General features: G+C 35.1%; 1 long non-coding RNA gene across 1 annotated transcript, besides 1 other annotated feature; it reads right to left on the reverse strand.

Moving 5' to 3' along the window:
- Positions 1–11,425: 11,425 nt before the first annotated feature.
- Positions 11,426–24,611, reverse strand: LOC105377376 (uncharacterized). The gene is made up of 3 exons (XR_939088.2): positions 24,536–24,611; positions 18,288–18,362; positions 11,426–11,529 (listed from the first exon to the last, which is right to left on the reverse strand). It is a non-coding gene; the product is annotated as an uncharacterized LOC105377376 (long non-coding RNA).
- Positions 15,608–16,109: an enhancer, noted in NCBI's record as "NANOG hESC enhancer chr4:114948704-114949205 (GRCh37/hg19 assembly coordinates)". NCBI's record gives its function as "activates a minimal SCP1, AML or CMV promoter by ChIP-STARR-seq in primed H9 embryonic stem cells {active_cell/tissue: H9 hESC(primed)}" and the evidence as "EXISTENCE:reporter gene assay evidence [ECO:0000049][PMID:30033119]".
- Positions 24,612–24,915: the final 304 nt, after the last annotated feature.

Genomic DNA, 24,915 nt, shown 5'->3' on the forward strand with positions numbered 1-24,915 from the left:
TTGGCTATTGATACTTGTGTATGCTTTCCAAAGTTCTCATGCTGTGTTTTTCAGCTCCATCAGATCATTTACATTATTCTCTAAACTCTTTATTTGAGTTAGCAGTTCCTGTAACCTTCCATCAAGGTTCTTAGCTTCCATGGAATTGGGTTAGAACATGCTCCTTTAGTTTAGAGGAGTTTGTTATTACCGACCTTTTGAAGCCTAGTTCTGTCCATTCGTCAAACTCATTCTCTGTCCAGTTTTGTTCCCTTGCTGGTGAGGAGTGGTGATCCTTTAGAGAAAAGGCATTCTGGTTTTTGGAATTTTCAGCATTTTTGCATTGGTTTTTCCTCATTTTCCTGGATTTATCCTGGTAGATTATCTGGATCTTTGGTGTTGGTGACCTTCAGATGGGGTTTTTGCCTGGGTGTCCTTTTTGTTGATGTTGATGCTATTGCTTTCTGTTTGTTGGTTTTCCTTCTAACAGTCAGGCCCCTCTTTGGCAGGTCTGCTGGAGTTTGCTGGTGGTTCACTCCAGACCCTGTTTGCCTGAGTATCACCAGTCGAGGCTGCAGAACAGCAAAGATTGCTGCCTGCTCCTTCCACTGGAAGCTTCGTCCCAGAGGGGCACCCACCAGATGCTAGCCAGAGCTCTCCTGTATGAGGTGTCTGTGGAACCCTGCTGGGAGGTGTCTCCCAGTCAGGAGGCATGGGGGTCAGGGACCCAGTTGAGGAGGCAGTCTGTCCCTTAGCAGAGCTCAAGCGCTGTGCTGGGAGATCCTCTGCTCTCTTCAGAGCCTGCAGGCAGGAACCTTTAAGTCTCATGAAGCTGTGCCAACACCTGTCCCTTCCCCACAGTGTTCTGTCCCAGGGAGATGGGAGTTTGATCTATAAGCCTCTGACTGGGGCTGCTGCCTTTCTTTCAGAAATGCCCTGCCCGGAGAGGAATCTAGAGAGGCAGTCTGGTTACCGCGGCTTTGCCGAGCCCGCAGTGGGTTCAGCACCCAGTTTGAACTTCCCTGAGGCTTTGTTTACACTGTGAGAGGAAAGCCACCTACTCAAGCTTCAATAATGGCAGATGCCCCTCCCCGCACCAAGCTCAAGCATCCCATCCCAGGTCGACTTCAGACTGCTGTGTTGGCAGTGAGAATTTCACACCAGTGGATTTTAGCTTGCTGGGCTCCGTGGGGATGGGAACCTCTGAGCAAGACCACTCAGCTCCCTGGCTTCAGCCCCCTTTCCAAGGGAGTGAACAGTTCTGTCTCACTGGCATTCCAGGCACCATCGGGGTACGAAAAAAAAAACTGCTGCAGCTAGCTTGTTGTCTGCCCAAATGGCTGCCCAGTTTTGTGCTTGAAACCCGGGGCCCTGGTGGTGTAGGCACCAGAGGGAATCTCCTGGTCTGTGGTTTGCGAAGACTGTGGGAAAAGCACAGTATCTGGGCCAGAGTGCAAAGTCCCTCAAGACACAGTTGCTCAAGGCTTCCCCTGGCTAAAGGAGGGAGTTCCCCTGACTGCTTGCACTTCCCAGGTAAGATGATGCCCCACCCTGCTTCAGCTCATCCTCTGTGGGCTGAACCCACTGTCTAACCAGTCCCAATGAGATGAACTGGGTACCTCAGTTGGAAATGCAGACATCACCCACCTTCTGCATTGGTCTCACTGGGAGCTGCAGACCTGCAGACGGGAGCTGTTCCTATTTGGCTATCTTGCCACCATGCCCCTCCCCCAGCTTTGGATTTAATACAGAAGTAAAATCAATGATTATAAACAAATATAATTTTAAAAAGTACTTATGTTTAGAAAAAAGAAAAATCAATATCTAGAGGGAAAGAAAAAGAAAGACAGTTAATGTATCTGTTTACTTCATTCAAAAATCTTTTCTATTTATATATAGCAGGGAAATTTTTTAAAATAATGACATATTTGCATATGTTAATTTCTATAAAAATGCCTAGCTTGAATTCCATCCTAGACTCAAATACACATTGGCTGTCTAACTTCAAGAAAGACAAATAAATTAATTCAGGAATTATGTTTTAACTTAAAAATCAATAATTGGAAAGCGAATTTCCCCAGCCTGTTATTTTTATATTACATGAAAATCCTTCAAGGAATAGTTTGTGATATTTGAACAGCAAATTTCAGTGATACTGTTGAAATATAAAATAAGAATGTTCAGGACAAGTTATTTACATATATTTGTGCTTCAGTTTCTCAATTCACAAAATAACGACAATAATTTATTATCTCATAGGGTTGTTGTGAGGATTTAATGACTACGTATATAATTTAAAAATATCTATATGTCTTTTCTAAGTACTTTATATTACTCAGTATTATCATAAGCAGCAAAATTAAATTATAAAAGAAAGCTAAACAAGCAGGAAATTAAACACACTCAAAACATACACATAAACATACAAAGAAGCGAACTTTTCAAATTTCCCCACCTTTTTGTTACAAAAAAAGTAAACAAAAAAAAAAGTTTAGTTTTCAAAGGCCCATTTTAGAGGTATTGCTTTATCAATGATTATACATTAAATAAGAAGAAGCAATAATAGACCTCCCAATGCCAGGGTTTAATTAGATTTGAATTTTACAGTTATCTCAATGGAATGTTTTTCCATCTGTAAGATCACCTTTTCTAATGCTTTATGAAGCAGACATGGACATCTTCTGTCTCCTTTCCTTCAGGACCAAGAAAAGTGGTAAAAAGTCTGTAGCTTTTACTACAGCCCATAGCTGTACCATATAACAGATAAAATAGTGCTTTTTGTAATTGGAAAAATTTTATGGTGTTCAGAAATAGTATTATTAAGTAAAGCAAGGATTTGATTCTAAATCCTGATTTGCAGAGAAAGCTTAAGCAAGTCACTAAATGTAATTTTACAGTCAATAAAATAATTGATAAGAATCCTGAAATGCCACTTAGAAATGCCTTGTCAAAACTTCAAATTATAAATGTGAGATTTATAAAACTGTCTACTATGTTATTATGGTTATCATGCAAAAGGGCAATCTTTTGATTGGAGTTTATTCAAGCAAAACAAATTAGAAGCATTCTCATTTTGCTTAGTTCTCCAAGGCATAAATAGATTATCTAATTGGTCTTTCTTTTGTTTCTCAGATTTATATCTAATAGCTTGCTCTGAGCAATAATAATTTGAGTAGAGAACTGGAGAACTTCTTGTTCCCCTTAAATTCACATTACTAAATCTCAAGGCCATGGCCATTTAGCAATATGCTCAGTCTCTAGCTCCTAACACCATCTTGTCTTGAGTACAGTAGAAAGTACATTTGTTGATGAATATTTGTCAGGAATTTAACACTAGCTTACATGTTAAATTTTCATCCTTGAAAAAAGATGCCACTTATACTAAAGCTTAAGATCTTCCTCTTAGATTATTTTTGGAGTTCACGAAAGGTGCAATACCAAACAATAGGTCAGAATTTAGAAAACATGATTTCTCCATTTAATGAACACAACAACCTAAAGTGAATAGATATGTCTTGCTTTATGGAAATTACACTGAACCATTATGTCATAGATAAAAAGAACAATGGAGTGAATGAATAAACCACCAGCTCATCTGGCTGGAATCTCATTTGTAATGAGCATTTGCCAAAGCTGGCTACGTTTTTTGGTTTCTCATCTGCCTGGCCCTCCTGATTTATTGATGTGTTTGACTTTCTCCATTCACAACCATCCTGATTCATTTCCTGGCTTTTAAAATCTTTCCTGGCATAATGCCTTCATGGGCTTCCATCTCAGAAGTAGAACCTTCTTCCTTCTTTGGACTTATTCCAAAATCAACTATATTCAACTGAAACTTTTAAAGTGGAGTCTTCACCAACCAAGGCCCTGATCTGTTTACTTTTAGCTCTACCACAGATGAGACAGCCAGGCAGAGGCAACATTCCTCCTTTGGCCTTCTTTATATTGGGCTTAAAAGATCAGTTTTCCCAGCACTATGGGAGGCCAAGGCGGGCAGATCACGAGGTCAGGAGATCGAGACCACGGTGAAACCCTGTCTCTACTAAAAATACAAAAAATTAGCCGGGCGTCGTGGCGGGCGCCTGTAGTCCCAGCTACTCCGAGAGGCTGAGGCAGGAGAATGGCGTGAACCCGGCAGGCGGAGCTTGCAGTGAGCCGCGATTGCGCCACTGCACTCCAACCTGGGCGACAGAGCAAGACTCCGTCTCAATTAAAAAAAAAAAAAAAAAAAAAAAAAAGATCAGTTTTTGGGCCAGTCATGGTGGCTCACGCCTTTAGTCCCAGCACTGGGAGGCCAAGGCAGGCAGATTTCTTGAGACCAGCCTAGGCAATATGGCGAAACCCCATCTCTTAAAAAAAATCTTTTAAAATTATTTTATTGACTTACAGGACAAACACAATTGATAGTGTTGACTAAGAGGATTCTGTATCCATGAGAAAGCATTGTAGAAACATTAATGACAGCATCATGAGGTACTACTGAGTCCAATAAACAGTCTTCAGTCATAAATCCTGGATTTTCTCTCTGTATCTTGTGGTGAATCCTTAATTGATTTAGAAGATTGCTGGATATCTCCATACCTCATTTCCTTGCCTGTATAAATGTGGAAAAATTATGGTCACTACCATGTTTGGTAAATAGTGGTCTAGATGCTTTGTTCTTATTTTGTAAATCCATCAGTCTGAAGATTTCCTCACTGTTCTAAAGCTCTTGAGTGTTTTGATATACATTTGATGTGGAAAGCACAAGCAGCAAAAGAAAAAATATATATATATATAAGTATTCTATGTATCTCATTTTGCATTTTTAAAATATGTGGCTTTAGGTTGCAAACCTAGAAGGTCTGAGAGGAAATAATGGAATTTTGTCTCATTTTTGTTGGAGTATAGCAATATAATAAAGTATATCCTCAAGTCATGAAAAATATTCATGGCTATATTCCAAGAGAAATATTTATTTAGAATACTTAGGTTAAAATTTGATCTCGTTATATAAGCAATACAATTGCATACACTTTTCAGTGCTAATTATTTTAGAAGACCAGGCTGGTATTTCATTCTTATTTCTTCCCAATACACAATGCAACTTAGAGATGGCTATATGATTATGACCTCATGGACAGGGTTTTGTTCCTTATGTAGGCCTGCGAGGCCTACAGAGAAAAATTCTCATTCCAAGACTTCAACTGAACTGCTGGTGTTAACTAACTGCCATTCAAATGGGTCTGGGTAAGAAGACAGAGCAGGAGAAAGAATGAGTCTAGCAAATAATCTACATTATATAATATATTCTTCATATGAGCAGACTAGTATGTGAAACGCCTATGAACAAAATATGTCTCATGAATCTGTAAGAACACACTGTGGTTTTAAAAATGATTCTGGTTTAATTTCAAAGGTGGGTTGCATCATACTGGAGGTTACAGTAGGGTAGTGGCAATATGTGCAGTACATCGGTCCCCAAACCTGCATCACTGTTAGAATCACTTGGAGTGGCCCCTGCAAACTTTAGAATCAGAAGTTCCAAGATATGTCCTGGGAATCTTATTTTTGGAATCTCTCTAATTTGGGAGCTACTATTGTAATGGCCAGAAAGTAGACTTGAAGTCAGAGAGACCAAGATCTAAGTTTGCTGAGTCTCACTTTTCTTATAGTAATGAGGAAAAAATGATAAACTGCTTTGTAAAGTGCTGCCAGATTAGAGTAAATCATATGGAAAAAATCTATCAAAATATTGTTACTCAGGATAACCATTATTTAAAAAATCAATTAGCATGTTTCACAAGGTATATAGTGTGTCGCAATGTATACAATGACCACGATGTCTCACAATGTATACACTTATCAAAACATCAAGCTGTACACTGTAAATATATATAATTTTTGTCAATTATACCTTAATAAACCTGTGGAAAAATAAAATTGTTTTAAAAACAATAATAAATGTTATAATGTAGGATGTATAACTTCAACCAGGAGAACAAGATTGGTTAAGTAAGATTAGAGAAGAGTTCAGAAGTTGAGAGTTAAAAAATAATATAAGAAGAAAGGAAAATGGTGAATGAGGCCATGAATGAGCAATTCAGAGTGATGGAGAAGGCATTAAAGCGGGAAAGCATAAAAAGTGAAGATCAGAACCATAAAGAGAGCAATAACCAAATTGTCAGTAGTGTTGAAGCATAGGCCATAGAGGGAACGAATCCAGAACTTAGTGAGAATGTCCCAGAACCCCTGATCAAGAACCAAGGCAGAACCCGGGCAGGAGAGATCAGAGCCCAGCAAAGGAGGATCATTCACCAGTAACAGTGTGTATAGCCCAACTCCAGGTTACTGTTGAGGCAGCCCTCTTGGATTCATGGGATAGGGATAGGCAATGGGGAGCACACAATTATGGGTCTTGCATGAGCACAGATGGTTCTGGGCCATGGTGTCTGAGGTGATATTGCAGTTCTCCCCATTTAGCTCCCATTCTGTGGATATAAAGAAACAGATAAAAAGACTAAGGCAGTTAAAATTCTTCTTAAATTTGAAGAAAAAAATGTAAAGAAATAGATTTGTCTTTCATGACCAGTAACAATAAGACATCACATCTTTGTTAATTCACATAAAATGTTTTTCTCTCAATGCAAGGTTTGAAGAGATAGGTAGATTTGGATCTGGGAAGAGAAAGGCAAAGAGTTTACCTGTGAGGGAAACATGAACTGAGACTTGGAAGCAAGAATGACAATTTTTTCAGAGAGAAAATTCATCTGCCAACAAAGTTAGCAGTAGTGGAGGAAATGATTGAAAAAGGAACAATTAGAATGTCACTGCAGTGATTTGGGTGTTACCTTTACTAAAATTTTACTACATAGTTCAGATCAGAGGACTATTATATCTTTTGTATTCTTTCTTTTTTTTATTTTAGTAAAGACATTCTATTTCCTTTGAGTTTTGTAGAATTATTCATATGTTTTTGATTCTGCTATCTAATTATGTAAGTACTAGACCGAACTAAAGATTAATTTCTGGTTTGAGTGTTGTTTACCTGAAATGTTTAACAATATCATTTGATAGAACTAAAAATTGATTTCTTGTTTAAAAATGTTGTTTCCTCAAAATGCTTAGCAGTGTCATGTGACTGCTTTGGTTGGAACATGACCATTCAAAAGCCTTCATGGAATCTAGACTGTCTTAGAGGTTTGACTGTGTTATGTCAAATATATTAAGATGGTCCCACATCCCACATTCAACATCATTTATATGTAATTGGATAAACTGTGTTTCAATGTAGTTGAATAGTTGGTATAATATACTATTTTGAAAACACTTTATTAATCAGTTAATAATTTTAATTTATAATTTTATTTTCATAGTTTTGAGCCAATAATTTTTTTTAGAGTCCCAAAAATCTGACAAGCTCAGGATGCAGTCCTTTTAAAGATTTATGAAAAAACAATTGGCCTTGCAGGTGAAGGTTATTTTACATATGTAAGATAACCTCTTAGAGAAAACATGTCTTAAGAGTCATTAAAGACTGTGAGAGAATGTTTGTTCATCCATTGAATATCCTGTTTCTCATAATCATAGGATTTGGTGACTAGTTTCTTGAGTTGGTATATTTTGTGTTTAAGTATTTTTTTAAAAGTATCTTGTAAACTTTGGAAAGGCACAGCCTTTTTTTTAGGCCTTGTTTTATACTCAGGATCAGCCCAGTTACTTCTACTTAGTAAAAGTTTATATACTAATTGTTCTTTCAAATTCCAACCACTTCATTTTAAAAAATAATAAGTTTATTAAACTTATACTTTGCGAGTAAAGTTCCTATGCTTGTGCCAACTGGCAGAAATCATGAGAATGTGTTACCAATAGGTTGATTGCACAATATTTAAGAATTTATTCCCAACTTCCTATGTTCTGACCAACATAAAATTTTTAAAAGGTCAGCATATAGGTTTTTGTATTGAAACTAACCTTCTCAAAGTTTGTGTCTCTGCATGTTATTGAGTTTAATGCCAGCACTGAACTTAACACATAAATAGAAAAAGGACATCTGCCATTTCGTAGACTTACCAATAAAATTCTGTTACAAATTAACTGGTTGCTTTGTTAAGTATTTTCTTGTATAAAGAAAACTTATCTTATAACCTAACAAAACCCAACCCATGTATATCTCATGTACTTTTCCTTTCCAACTGGCAATTAAACTATTTAAAATCAATTTGTTTTGAAAGGCATTGTGACACTTCTTAGCCTGAGAACTGCCATATCATAGCAACTAGGGTGGAGGCACAAAAACTGAACTGGTTCACAGGAAGTCTATTTTGAAAAGGCCATAGGGACCACTCACATCAGTGATGCATGGCATATTCAGAAAGTCACCGAAGGCTGCAATATTTCTCTCTTTTTATAGGAGAATAAAATAGTATGATTTATAAAAGGGTGGAATAATGGAATGAGTAAAGAGGACATAAATATCCTAAGTTATTTTTACGTAGTACAGCAAATTTTCTTTTTGAAATGGAATTTTTTTTTAAATCAGTGGTTGTTGTCATTATATTGTTTAAAAGGAAATGATATCACCTGTTAAAATGTCACCCATTTGGAAAAATATAGAAAAAACATATATTTATATATATATAAATATATATTATATATAATCTGTATAAACTAGCAAGAAGAATTAATTCAAAATATTACTCCATTATGTGGCATTTAGGAGTAAGAGAACAATAAAATTATTTAACAGTTTTGAATTTGGAAAATATAATGTGACAGAGTAAGCAAATATATCCTGCCAGCTTAAATCACTAGAGATTTTTACAGCATATCTTTATTCCTAACTATGAACGTAAACAAGTGAAAATTATAGAGGATAAAATATACCATTTTAGTCATAGCTTTCAGTATTATTTCCCTAACAATTTTTCTTTGTTACATCTAAATGCTTCTAAATCAGAATAAAATAACTCATTAGATTTTTGCCGGACATTGTGTTGGAAAGCACTTTTTTTTTCAGTTACTTTATTCCTTAGAGAAAAGAGAAAGGAATGAAATAAGGAGTGAAAGAAAAACAAGAATAAAGACATCTGTGTGGTCTGATAGAATAATGTGATGTGGAGGCCTGCAGAGAGATCTCTATGGACTGAAGAAAGTACTGGAACTTCTGATAAGAGCTTAGTCTTAGTGAAATAACGAACTTCCCAAACGTAGAATCCACAGAGGAGGGTTCCAGAGTATGTTTGTTGGGCTCAGTTGAATAGCTTATAGTATATAGTATATAGTCACTTAATGATGGGAGTACATTCTGAGAAATGCATCTTTAGGTGATTTTGTCATTGTGTGAACATCATAGAGTGTCCTTACATAAACCTAGATGGTATAGCCTGCTACACACCTAGGTTATATGGTATAGCCTATTGCTCCTAGGCTACAATCCTGCACAGCATGTAACTGTACTGAGCACTGTAGGCAATTGTAACACAACAGCAAGTATTTTTGTATCTAAACATATTTAAATATAGAAAAGGTACAGTAAAAATGTGGTATAATCTTATGGGACCACCATTGTACATGTGGTCTATCATTGGTGGAAATGTTGTTTTGTGGCACAGACTATTTGAATACTTGGTATATTATATGTATATAATCATATATATTACATATATATAATATATGTAATACGGCTAAAAGAATCTGCAGCTGCTGCTGTCTGCTGTCTGTCCCCAAAGCTGCTGCCATGGTAACCATACTACGCTCCCAAGCAAGTATGAGTGTTTCAGTTTCACGTATTTAGATATGCCCTTTGGGCCATTTTCAAGACACTGGCTTTTCATTTCCAAATATTAAAGCTGAAACTCTGAAGCAAGAAGACTTGTGATGAAGAATAAATGCTCATCAACTCTTTGGGATTGAAGCTTTGAATCCTGACCAGTGAGAAAGAGTTTGCAAATAAGAATTGGAGAGCTTTTGCTGGGCCAACAATTTTTAGTGTTAATTTGTGTGTGGCTGCTGTGCCTGTCTAAAGGGAGCATGTTCTTAAGCTACAAGCTGGACTTTCCTAGCAGCAGGTTGGGAAGAGTGATGATATGGAAAAATGTCCACATTGGAAGTTTTCTTGGTTACACACTTTCCAGAAGAAACTTAATTTCACAGAAGGCATTCTTGTTTCATCACTTCTTGTTTAAGAAGCTTGATGGAGATACTTGAGGTCTTAGAATCTTTTGTTAAATGGAGATAAAAAAAATACATACCTTTTAGTGTAGCTATGAAGATTAAGTAAAACAATATTTTTAAATGAATTAATGTAATGAACATGATGACACTAATAATAACTGTTATAGGCTAAATTGTATCCCCTCCAACTTCATATGTTGAAATCCTAACCCACAGTACCTCAGAATGAAGCTGTTTTGGAGATAAGGCTTTTACAGAGGTGATTACATTAAAATGGGAATGGTGATATGGGCCTTAATCTAAGTGATGCAGTTTTTGGTATTTTGTTATGGCAACCTTAGCAAACTAACCCAATAACTAACAGAGATGGAGAGCTTACTCTAGGTTTTATAATTGGTTCTATTTAATAGAAGAATTGCTAAATTAATTTAGAGACCATGGATGAAGATGCTGAAGGAAACATTCTTCCACCTTTGCCTTTAACTTCCCAATAGAACAGCTGTCACTTAGGCAATTTATTGTATCTGTATTATTGCAAGAACAAAGTAACTGAAAGGGTCCTTCACAATTTCTTTGTTACGTAACTTAGTTCTAAATGAAATATATTTAATTTTCAAATAAAATCTGGATTTTAAATTAATTTTGTATTCATTTTCTACCCATGAAAATGTTCCTTACAAATATTGTGATGTTTGAGTGTGGAGTGAGTGGAAACGTAAACCCATTTCAAAGAAGATATTTGTTTACTATATTCTTGCAAAGCATACTTTATATTGGCCCAACCTGAAAGATCTACTAGCTTTTGCTTCCTCTTTAAACAAGTGTAGTCAGTTTTACTTCCTCCCATTTTAATGTGTTTCTCTATTCTGGTGAATATGGATAAGTCTTTTCTTTCTTTTATGGTAAGTAGGAAGAAGTCTGAATCACAATTCAAAAGTCAAATTTAGTCTAAGTCAAAAATAGAAGGGGCACTAAATAAATAGGCATTTTATGATGTTCTAAGAATGCCATCAAAATTTCTGTTTAAGATTTCTGTGTGTATATGTTATATATGCATATGTATGTGATTATTAACAATATAACAGAAATAACCTGTATTGTATGTTGCTTATCTATCTATCTATCTATCATCTATCTATCTATCATCTATCTTCTATCTATCATCTTTTTTATCACATACATTTTAGCTTGGGACATAAATACAGGTTAGGTAATTAACTCTTAGCAAATTAATTAAAATGGGAATTCTTTTATTGAGGTCACATATATTTAAGTTTTAAAAACCACCTACCTGTTACTTTCAGTGTTGGTTTTTTTCCTTTAAAGATTAAGTGTAATTACCATTTGTAAATTAATTTTTAGGCGATTATTTGACTAGTAACTTGACTCTCTGACCTAGAAGAAAAAGGAGCAAAAGTCAGAAAACTCATTGAATATTGACTACAAACTGTGGTAATGCTAGATTTCCCAACAAAAATCAACTATGTAAGCTTTGGTTATATAGGTTAGTAATGCCTAGGGACAGCTTAAATTTGTAGTATGTGTACATTAGTTCATCTGAACTTTAATTAAATAAGGCATACTTTGTGTCTTGCTTATTTTGGCTTCTATTAGTTTCTTCATGACCATTCTAGGTTTTTTATCCCCATGGTCTACTAGTTTAAAAAAAAATGCTTGTTAAAACACGTTTAATCTCAAAATTGTATCATTTAAACCAAAGGACAACCATATTTTATAGACTATTCCAGTATTATATAAATTGTTATGATTTTGTCACATTTGCTGTGTATTTTATGAATAATGATGAGCACTTAATAAAATTATTTTTTTCTACCTCTGCATATTTGCTATATTAAAGTCAAGTACTTTTGCTTATACACCTGGGTGGAAGAAAAATTTTTCTGTGTTAAAAAACAGAAGAAACATTGAAATATTTGTTTTCAGATGGTAAAAAATACTGCTTGGAAATATAAATCAATATAAACAAATACTTTAAGATCTTCTAGGTGATGAATGCATAGTAAAAGTGTAGTATTTTCTTTTGAGGACATAAATGAATGATAATCATTTTTGAATGTAACTATCATAAATTAGACAATGCCTAAATTTTTGGTTTACCATTTTTAAAGGATCATGTGTGGGGCCTGCCACTTATACACATGCCTTATCTGGCAGATGCCTTTTTCAATTAGTACCTCATTTACAATATCATAAATGCAATGGTTTATTGATAAAAACTTTTAATAACCCCTTAATGGTAGTTGGGTCGCACACTGAGTCTTGTACTCCACAGGAAGACAGATTACCTTCACTGTTATTGAAAATATCTGACTTTAGAGTGTAAAAACATAAGATCTGCTCCTCTGATCTGTTTATTTTGAGGTGGGCTGTTAGATACTGACAGTGGTTATGGTGGTCCTATGGAAGGGGTGGTTTTTCTTTCTTGACATCATCCTCAAAAGTTGAGGACTTGCATCAAATCCCCCTCTCCTTTCCTCTCTTTCTTATTCACTCCATCCTGTCCTCGTAAATAGTATATACTAATGTCATTTTATAGATTCATCATACCTATAAAAAATATAAACCATGTAGTTATGGGAAGTAATTTATATTTATATTAATATGTTCCAAGTTTTCTGAGACAAGCAACTGTGTCCGATTAACTTTTGTCTCCTACCTGTGTCTCTTGTGTCTAATGTAAGCTTTGGTACCAATAGCAGATACTAAATATCTGTTGAGTGAATGACCGGCCTAAATATCCTTCTGAGATAAAGTGTTCCATCATGAGCTGTATGAGGTAATGATTAATTTGTTTTAAATTGATTCTTTTGAGTTTTAAACTATAACTTTTTAACCCAATATGCCAGCATAGATGAAAATATCTTATAGATACCATTTATATGTTCTTGGGAAACCTATAAATGTCTCAATATATTTGAAATTGTTCAGATTAAATTTCTCCCATCAAGAAGAATGGGCAAACACTGAGTTTAGTTGTGGAAAATTGAGTGGGCTATTAGTAGACCTGAACTTGTGATTTGAGAAATGTGTACCTTCACCTGCGGATAAAATGTAATATCTCATTTTGTAGACTTACTAGGTACTTGTAACAATGAGTTAAATATGTATGATATACTTTCTAGCAAAGTTGCTATGTAGTTAAATAACAAGAATGGTGCAGACCATTAGTTTAATAGGAATTCAAACACTGTGGTCTAGAAAGGTGAGTAAAGTTTCACTTCAGGAAGTGAAACCTGAGAAAGGCTGTGAAAAATACGTGCCAGCTGAAGGGACATTATATGGTTCAAAGTCCTAGGAAGCTGCTAGCAGCGTGTGAGTGCTAGCACCCTGCCCCTCGCCTTGGGGAATTGTTGCCTATGCATAGTCACATTAGTCCAAGCCTTGTGGAACTTCTATCTAATAAGCTTCTATACCATCAAGGGTAATATTTTTGTACAAGATGAATAGTTCTAGATGCTCTACTTCCTCTGAGAGTTGGATCAATAGTCCTGCATTGCTTAGTCATAGCTAGACATTTGACTACAAGAACATCTATCTTCACAAAACTCATCCCTATACGGTTCTGCCCAGCCCTTAATTTGATCCTCTCACTTCCATCATATTTCTCTTGTTCTTCGTAACAAAACCACCTCAAATGTGTCATCTTTTCTAGGAACATTTCCTTATATTCTTGCTTTATCAAAAAACTGCCTGTCCCTTTTTATTGTCAGCTCAACTTGGCCCTCTCAAAAGAAAGTTGTTCTTTCTCGTAGTGATTACATGAGGTATGACAGGGTTGACTTGTCTTCTTTGATTTTGGTTTGCAATATTAGCTCTTTATCCATCTCCCTCCTGCAAATGCCTACCACCGTTCTTGATGCATATGCCTCCTCTATCTTTTTGTTACTGTTGTCTATTTACCTATGTATTAAGGCCCTTTTATTCAAGCATATAGATTTCTAAATTCTGTACAGTATATTTATTTGTGACTTCAGCATCCACATAAATAAAACATGTAAAATGGAGGCTTTTTGGTTCTTTCATCTTCTCATCTCCCAATTTTTTTTCATTCCTAGCTAACCACTTTCACTTAATGTCTTTTCAGCCCCAGAAAACTTACCACTTCTGAAATCTTGGTTTTAAATATTCCATTGTCCAATAATGATCATTTATTTATCTGGAGCATTTATTCAGGTATCTCTACTGCCACAATTCTTCAAATACATCAATACTCCAACCCTGACCCACACCTGTTATCACCACTCCAAGCTTCATTTTTACCCTGGCGTTTGTGATCTCTGTCCATCATGAGATTACTTCATGGCAAATATCCTTCAATCCCTTACCCCTCTCTCCTTTCATTTTAGTTACCCTGAAAAACTTGGCCATGTGCCTTTTTATGATTTAATTTGAGTGGGGAAACTTTGCTGGAGAAAGATCACAGGACTCTGTGATCTCAAATTTCAAACTTCCACTCCATACCACTCATTAATCCTTTCATTTTCTTCTGATAGGATCATGTTTCCACTTTGAAAATGAGAACTTTATACCTTTTGTTTTCTCTTCAAACCACCCATAACTTCTTTCTGTTCACAGCTGTTAATTGTGCTGTCTCACTTCTTCCCCTTCCATTTACACCACAACCCACTGTGATCAGGCTTCTCTGCCCAATTATCTGAGCCCCGCATTCCACTGAAAAACCTCGTAACTAGGTCAATATTAACATTTCATTGTCTATAACTTGCTCGATTTCTCACCATTATGTGAGACAGTAAATACTAATTTTTTTTTCCCACTCACTTTTCTCCTGTGGCTTCTGTTCCACCACCCTACTGATTTTTTTAGACTTAATGGTTACATCTACTTAATTTTCTTAGCTGGTTACCCTTCCTTTAAATATCTGTGCTTCTTAATTTTAGGTTCTAGATCTACTTTGCTTCTTCAACAAACATTTTCTAGGTGATCTCATCAATTGACATAAATGTGAACTCAGTATTTATTCTGATGGCTCCCAAATGTTTATATTTATCCCCAAGCTCTTGAATTTCATTTCAGAATGTTTATCTGACAACACAGCTGGGTGTTATGTATACCTTGCAAACACAATCTATCCAAAAACAGAAACTCATGATTTTCTGTTCTAAATCTCTCCAAAGTCTCCTTTCTCCTTGCCACCTTAGTAAACATCATCAAAATCCACTTAGTTGTTTCTTCTAAAAGCAAAAGAGAAATGTATTTATTTCTCCCTTACTGTACTTATTCATCAATACATTCTGTTGTATTGTATTAGCAATACAATAGAATCTTGTATTCTCTTGTATCTTGTATTCCCAAATTATTCTTCAAATCTGTATACTTTTCTCCATCTCTACTCTCCTGTCTCCAGTTCAGATTACTATCCTTTCTTGCCTGGAAGATAGGTTACTAACTTGTTTCCTTTATGTATTATTGTTCCCTTTAAACTATTCTCCACAAAGCAGCAAGTGTGATCTAAAAGTTAAATCAAATTATATTATTCCTCTGCATAAAACCTATCAATGGCTTCTAATTTTACTAAGAATGAAAGACAGACTTCTTTCCATGAATTACAGAATCACCCATGTTATGGTTTCTATTCACTTCTTCAAATTCATTGCAGACCACTCTCCCAGTTGTTCACTCTTAATGACATTCTAGCCTTTCAGAAGTTTAATGAAGCCATCAAAGCCTTTTCCTGTCCAGGGTATTTGAAGTCATTGTTGCATCAACATGGAAGATTTCCTTTCAGACTTCAATGTCAATGCCATGAAAGTCACATCTTTTTCTTGTTTGTTGTTGATTTCTCAGCATCTAGAATGGCTCCTGTCACACAGTAGGTGTTTAATATGTATTTGCTGAGTTAAGTAAATGCATAAATTTCATCCCTGATCTTAGCTGAAATATCCCCTCTTAAGGTAGGCTTTTTCTAACCACTGTTTCTGAAACAGCTTCCACCCTAGATTAAATTACACTATACCATTTTATTTTCCTTCATTTCAGTTTTTAGTCTGCACTTACTTACCTTGCTTTCTTACTTTTTTGCTTGATTATTGCCTATATTCTCTATGGGCAATAATTGCTGATATTCTATTATTGCTCATGTTCTCTATGGGCAATAATCAAGAATAGAAATTCAGTGAGGTCATCTTTTGGCTTTGTTACAACTGAAATTTCAGTGCCTGGCACAATGCCTATATGCAATAATCCCCAGTTAATATTTGTGAAACAAATGAACACATGAGTAATTGAACAATAAGAGCAATACAAAAAGATTTCAGAGGGAAAGAAGAGGGAATATCAAGGAGGCAGACTTTCACCCTTTATCAAAATTTAGCCAAAGTAAGCATAAAGAGGCTATTGTTTACCCATTAAGATTATTTATAAAAATGTCAAATTGTACATGTTCTTATAGTAACTCATATTCTTATACATTTTAATACAGAAAGTACAATTTGTTGTGTTTTTAAAAAAATTTCCTTTCCCCTATTCTTAACCAATTTCTTGGTTAAGATGACAAATGTTCCTCCAACCCTGCCCATGTTGATAGAATCCTGTTTTCAGTCTTTGATGTGGAAACTTTCCAGTGGTTTTTGGAAATTTAAATCATTTAAGACTAGTAAAACATAGTTGTTGTTGTTTTTTTTTTTTTTCTCTGCTAAACCATGAACATTTTTCTCCTCAGTGAGAGTGTCATCTAAATGCTTAGTAATTCTACCTTTAATGCATGCCTGGCTGTTCCTATGGTATCTTATGGCTGTTAAACTTTTCTAAGAAAAAATATGATCTATTATGCTTTTGAATTTATTTAAAATATCATCTGCTTATCAAAAAGTAGATAAAATAAGAACGTAAACATCAACAAATTATCCACCTTTCAAATCAAGAAATAGAAAACTACCAGTGCTCCAGAAGACCTATCCCCCCAAACACTCCCAATCTCTATCCTCTTCTTTCTCACTACAGTTTAGTTTGGGCTGATTTGAAATGTATGGAAAGGGGATCATAAAATATGCATTTTTTTGTGCCTGGCTTCTTTCTTAAAACATTATGCCTATAAGAGGCATCCATGTTGTTATGAGCAGCAGTGTTTCATTCTCTGTCATTGCTATTTATTGTCCCACTGGACAGAGGTTCCACAGTTTTTCTATCCATTTCACTGTGGATGGAAATTGGGGTTATTTCCAGTTTTCGACTTTTATGAATAATGCTGCTATGAAAATTCTTCTATATGTCTCTTGAAATACATGTGCAAGCGTTTTTGTTAGAAACAATCCTAGTAGTGGAATTGTCATGTTATAGGGTGTGTATATGTTCAATTTTAGTGAATAATGTCAAATAGATTTCCAAATTCCCTGTATCAATTAAAACATTAGCCCACAGCATGTGAGAATTTCAGCTGCTCCATATCCTTGCCATCTTTTGGTACTGAAAGGCCTTTTATTTTAGCCATTCTAATGGGTATACAGTATTATCTCATTGTGATTTTAATTTTTCTAATTAATAGTACTATTCCATACTTTTGTATATGTTGCTGGAATGTTTTATAGGTCTTGTGCTCATTTTTCTCTGAGGTTGTGTTTTTTCCATATTGATTTTTGTACTTGTGTTTTATTTATCTTGCATGTAAGCTGCTTACCTTGTATATGTACAGCAAATATATTTGCTCATTTCTCATTCTATGACTTGTTTTTTAACTTTCTTAATGCCATATTTTGATAAACATAATTTCTACATATTAAAGTCATTTAATTGATCATTTTTATTCTTATTGTTAGGACTCTTGCTTCATATTTAAGAAATCTTTACTTAAGGTTGTGAATATATGCTCTTGTATTTTCTTATCAAATTATATTACTTTGCTTTTACATTTATATCCATTTCATATGGAATTGTTTTTTGTGTGTGGTGTGAGGTAGAACTCATATGGGTGTTCAATTAAACCAACTTCATTTATGAAAAGATCCATTTCTTCCTCATTGTGCTAAGGGGCCACTTTAGCAAAAATTAGGTAGAAATATTTATAATCTCCCTTTTTCTCTTACATTGTACTCTTTTTCTATTCTTGTACCAATACCACACTACCTTAATTATTGTAGCTTTATAATAAGTCTTGATATCAGTAAAACAAATCCCACCTTATTTTCCTTCAAGTGTGCATTGCTATTCTTGGCCCTTTGTGATTCCTCATAAATCTTAGAATCAGTTTACCTCTGCAAAAAACAAACATAAAGACCAATTTGAGAAAAATTAATGTTTTTTATAATATTGGTTCCTCTAATATATGATCACAGCATTTTCCTTCATTTGTGTAGGTCTTTTACCATTTCTGTCCATCAAGATTTACAATATTCTGCGTAGAGATGCTAAATGTATTTTGTACACTTATTGTAAGTATTTGGTAGTTTTTGCTATTGTAAGTGCTATTGTATTTGGCATTTTATATTTTTTAAAAATGTACATGTTATTGCAAATTGTATCTTATACTTTAAAAAATTTACTGGTTGTTCTCATTTAAAAGTAAATACAACTATTTCCTGATGGATAAAATGCCCCTTTATTGGAAAATTTAATAATAGGCAACTGTGGGACTATGTAGGGAATAGAAGTAATATTGAATATTTTAAAAATAAAATTCATATAATTAGGGAACTTGTTTGTGAATAATCCATTAATTTGCCCAGTCAAACTTTAATGAATGTTTTCCCTTTACCAGGTATCATGAGAGACACTGAGGACATACAACGGTCCCAAAATACAATGTAACAATTTTATGATAATATCTATCATATGAATACATAAAGCAGGCATACAGAGCTGTAAATCATTTATATATACACACACAAACATATAACTATATATAACTTACAAATTTGTAAACTCTTTTTTCCCATATCATCTAATTTAATCCCTAGGACAACTTGTGAATTTAGTCTTGTTAATACTTTGTAGTGAAAATGGAGACTCTGGCAGGATAGCAAATCTCTATCAGGAGATTTTTTGAATCAGGAGCCTGTTGCACTGTATCATAAACTTGCCCTGGCACTGAAGACCCTTCAGTCAATAGGGTACTGATGTCTTTCTCATGAATAAAGGTCGCTGATGAGATAAGCATTTATTCCCCTGGGAAGTAAACTCTATGAAGGCAAGGATTTTAATTTGCTTTGCTCACTGCTCTGTCCCCATTATGCAGAATGATGCCTGTGACATATTTAGCAATCAGTAATTATTTATTATATAAATAAAAATGAAGAAGTAAACTTTATTCTGAAGTGGACAAAGATGAAGAGAGACTTTGGCATCACTGGTTTATAGATTTAATCTAAACAATTAAATTAGGTGCCAGAATTAGAAAGACATGTGCATAGTAGGTGATTTGACAAGAGAATAGCTTGCACAAATGAGATCACTCCAGGCATTTCATTGCTCTATAATAGTAAATTTGCTTTTCTAAGTTGTTTTTCTCTTGCTTCCAAGCTAGGATCTAATTCTGCCAGCAATAAAGCAATGGAATTACATTTTAGCACAGAGAAAAAGATCCTGAAAATAATCATAACAATCTTCAAAGCAATGAATGAATCTTTTTGGATTAGCAACTTATTCAAGCCATTTGCTATAATTCCATTGTCATAGATAATTGACAGCTAACTGGCTTGTCAACTTATCTCTCTGACCCTCGATAAATTTAGGAAACATGTGTAAATATATAATTCTTATTTAAAAGACATATGGGACTATATTCTCATGCTTATCTCATTAGGACTTTGCCAAAATCTTGGGGAAGTGGATTATTCTGTTTCAAATCAATGGTGTAATTTTATAAATAAATTACTTATTTTATTGCCATATAATATGACAACGGTAACTATAAATTTAATTCAGAATTTAAATTTAATTTACAAGTATAACACATAATCATAGAAATAAATATTTTTTCATAAACATATGAATTTTCTAGGTTTTCTATTTTCTTATTGGGTTATTTCTCCTCCAGTGATACCAAACTTTCCTAACATTACAATTATTTTTCTTTTCAAAAATTGAGGGCTGGGCACGGTGGCGTAATCCCAGCACTTTGGGAGGCCGAGGTGGGCGGGATGCTGAGGCAGGAGGCAGGAGATTTGCTTGAGCCGGAGAGGTGGAGTTTGCAGTGAGCTAAGATCCTGCCATTGCACCCCAGCCCGGCTGATAGAGACTCTGTCTAAAAAAAAAAAAAAAAAAAAAATTGAGGTGAAATTTACATAACATAAAACTAACTATTTTGAAGAGCACAATCCAGTGGTATTTAGTACACTTTGCAATGCTGTGCAGCCACCACCTCTATTGAGCTTCAAAACATTTTCATTACTCCAAAGAAAGCTCCACACCCATTTAGCAGTCAGTTCCCATTCCTCCCTCTCCTCAGAACCTGGCAAACACCAATTTTCTTTTTCTTTTCTTTCTTTCTTTTTTTTTTTTGAGACAGAGTTTCTATCTTTTTGCCCAGGCTGGAGTGCAATGGCGCGATCTCTGGTCACCAAGACCTCCGCCTCCTGGATTCAAGCGATTTCCTGCCTCAGCCTCCCGAGTAGCTGGGATTATAGGCATGCGCCACCACGCCCAGCTAATTTTGTATCTGCTTTTAGTAGAGATGGTTTCTCCACGTTGGTCAGGCTGGTCTCGAACTCCAGACCTCAGGTGATCCGCCTGCCTCGGCCTCCCGAAGTGCTGGGGTTACAGGTATGAGTCACAGCGCCCAGTCCACCAATTCTTTCTCTCCCTATGGATTTATCTATTCTTGATATTTTATATAAATAGAATCATACAATATGTGGCTTTTTTGTATCTGGCCTCTTTGACTTAGCATATTGTTTTCAAGGTTTATCCATTGTAGCATGTATCAATACTTCATCTTTGATGGCTGAATAAGATTCCATTTTAGGTATATACCACATTTTGTTTATCCATTCATCTGCTGATAGACACTTGGGTTATTTCCACCTTTTGGCTGTTGTAAAGTGCTGTGGAGTATTCTTTAAAGAATGAGAAAAAAATTTGAATATTACTTTATGTCTAATATCTTACCAACTGCAGCATTCCCAACAATGATTAAATATACTTTATAAGAGTCTCATGAGGTTACCTCATAAAAGAAGCTACTCCAATATTAGTCAGCATTAATACTGTTGGACAATCCTCTATTTCAAGCCCCACATTTGTGTTTTTAGTTCTATTAAAATCACTTTAGAATACATTCACTTATAAATCACTGAAGGGAGAAACTGAAAAAAATGCTTAAGATTTTTATTGTACATGTCGTTTTTTAAAAAATAATTGATTTATCTGATATTTTTAATTAACTAAAAAAGCACTTTAACTTCTAACTTTCATAAGAAATCATTCATATATTCTACTCTATGAACTTTGATTTTATTCTCATCTGGTAACTCCTGGATGTTTCTCCTCCTTACAGTGTTTCTTGCAATCACATAGGCAAGAATTATTGAAAGATTTATTTACTTATACTCAAGAATTCTTAACTCTTTCTTTTTCAAGATTCAAATTTTATATGGACAAAGAAGAAGCAGGAAAGAAGGAACTAATTCTAATTCCACTGCAGAAAGGCTAGTATTTAATCCACCCTTCTTCTAAAAATAAATGCAAGTCCCAGCCTGGGCAACATAGTGAGACCTCATCTCTACTAAAAATAAAAAGTAAAAAAATTAACTGAGTATGATGGCATGCCTGTAGTCCCAGCTACTTAGGAGGCTGAGGTGGGAAGATCACCTGAGCCCAGGAATTCAAGGTTGCAGTGAGCGATGATCGTGCCACTGCACTCCAGCATGTGCAAAAAAAAAAAAGAGGACCTGTCTCAAAACAAACAAATAGAAAAACCACAATAAGCACAAATCCCCAAGCTAGCATTGTTTTTGCACTTTGACCTTGAATGCTTTACATTTTATCAGTAACTAATTAACCTTATTTGTCATTATAGGACATTTGATAATAACATTTATGTCTAAGTTAGTTCTCCTTATAAAGATTTTAGATGGACATGGATGTGGAACAAAAGTAAGTTCTATTCTCAGGTGAACTTACATTTTTCGCAGCTGTAGATAAGCAGTAATTGAAGTGAAAAACTGTCTCCTCTCTCCTGCCTTTGGGATGTAATGGCCATGCAGGTGTCTTTTTGCCAACTCTGTGCTCTTGACAGTGTTATTAGCTCAAAATCACCAGGGACAAAACATTTTATACAAGGAACAGACATGCTTTTATACTACTAAATGAGCTTTCTGGGCTTTCTAACACTGCCAGTTTTGTATAAAGGTGGATGCCTACCTTGTGGAGGAACATTAATAGCAGGGAATTCAAAGCAACCATTGTTAGAAGCTTGTATTTTAGAGAATGCTTTTATTTTCTTTTACTAGACTTCATTACAAAAGTCTCTTGTTTTATTGCCATTACCTTTCTAGGCTGGTCTATATTTGGGTTCTGGCCAAAGATGAAAGTTGTATGCAAACATCCAATGGGCAATACAAAAATCATTTTCAAGATAGCCTTTTGGGAAATGTTATTTGCTTTCCAATTAGAGTCTGTTATTTCATGACTATTGTCACCGAAACAAAAATAATATTCTTAACTAATCATTCAGTGCATTTGAAGAGCAGTGTTATTTATTATTTTTAAATTTTTCTCATGTCTGAAATAATCTTACTTTTTTTGGTCAACATAAATCAAGTCAATGTTCTGTGGCTTGGGCATAGGCATGGTAGGCATGAATAGGCGTGCTTCACACCTACCCAGAGAAACACAGGAGAAAGGTCTGGTACATGATGTAGGTTTCTAGAAAGGGAAGAGTCACAATGGATGAGTCCCTCCATCTTCGAACTACAGATATGAAGTGAAGTGAAATTACTTGCCCGAGGTCATAAATATACCCAATGACAATATTGGCAGAAGCATCATGTCTACAGATCCCAAAGTATTGTTTCTTCAAACAGTATCTTGGTGTGACACTGGAAAGAATTGCAAGGGAGATGGCACGGGTGGATCACATCAATCTTGACTTGAGTCTCTACTTACCTGATAGTTGGCTCCACTGAGAAATACAAAAAGAGTGGTACTTGTTTTAGTATAAAAATAGTATGAAGTGCAATTACTAAATGGGCTAATTTTTTCTCATTATCAAGGTTTTTTACTATTTAAGAATCACAGGAAGAAGGAAAAATGTGCATTAACTTTTATAAAATCAGTGGTAGTAACTTATCAAAAAGCTACTTCATTAGTACTTCAGTAAGTAGAGTACTTCATTTAGCATTACTCCATTAGATAATATATAAAAAACAAGGCAAGCTTAGTAAACCATCTGGGTTGAAAGTTGTAAGAAAAAGAGACATGGTTGGAAGCTTGAATAAATGAAAATATTTTTACTACAAGCATCTGATTTCTGCATGCATGGTGGCAGGCAAGTAATTTCTTGGCTGATGCCTAAATCATATTTTTGAATTGAAAATGAAATATCTGGCATTTAAAGGAAGTCTTAAAAATGCAACACATAGATAAGTCTACTTAAAATACAGAACTGAGAACATTGGTTGAGTTATGAAAAATCTATGCTTGGAGACTACCATGATCCATGTCTCTGCCTGGAACCCTCTACTCACCCGTAATGTATTTCTCTAGGAGACTTCTTTTTAAGTGATTGTTTAATGAGTGGTAATCATATGATGAATGCTCCAGGTATTATACTAGGTGATTTACACAGATTATTACATTTAAATCTCAAAACAACTCTGTGAGGAAAGGTTAAGTAATCCAGTAAAAAGTCCCCCAGCTAGTAAGTGGCTAGCTGAAGATTTGAGGAGTCACGATTTGAATGCAGGCCTTCTTATCTCAGGTCTGAGTTGATATAATAATAATGCTTTCCATGGTGGGATGGAGAGTTAGGAACTTTACCCACCTTTAGACAAATAGGATGCCGTGTCTTAAAGAAGGGATTTCTATTCTGGAGAGAAGACAATCTGGGAGCTCTTAATTGGACTACAAATTCCTTAAAGGTAGAAATATACTCACTATTATATTCCCAGCATCAAATAGGCATACAATAAATACTTGTTGAATTTATGAGAGTCTGGCAAATTTGCCACCCTTTTAAAAAGAATAGTCTATAACAGAAGTTTAATTCTAAGGAATTTCCAATAGGGGCAAAAAAGTGGAGTGGAGGGGAGTTGTCACATAATTATAAGGAAACATAACTATCCCATATTTGAGTGTGCCTACATGTGAAAGACTGATCAATCATAAGCAGATGGGTTAAATCTTAAAAAGAATATAGGATACGACCCAGAACATTAAAGCATTACTATAATAGCCATAAACATTGGAAGAGATTCTCTAATCAGCCTACCTTAATATGGTGGTTTGGAAGAAATATCTCAGGGAACAAAGAGAAAGACCATCAGAAAAGAGTGTGGTTGGTGACGGAAGCACAGTGCCCTCACCAGAGGTGCTATGAAAATGATTAACGCTGTGTAAAGTACATCATTCAAAAACTAGGTGCCACTGAAGAACAGTTGCTATGGCAACCGAAGTAATATAGAAGGGAGAGGCGAGGCCAAGGAAGAAGGAATGACATAAATTGAAAACCTAGGAAGTGCCAGGTTTCACAATGAGTTTCACAGTTAATATCTCAATTTATCTTTACAGCTCTATTTTACCTTCCTGTGATTGTGCTACCACTAAATATCCACAGGCTTCTTTTCTGTTCTGTAGAATGGGATCCTATTT

This window comes from Homo sapiens, chromosome 4 (assembly GCF_000001405.40).
Source record: "Homo sapiens chromosome 4, GRCh38.p14 Primary Assembly".
Taxonomy (NCBI): Eukaryota; Metazoa; Chordata; class Mammalia; order Primates; family Hominidae; genus Homo; species Homo sapiens.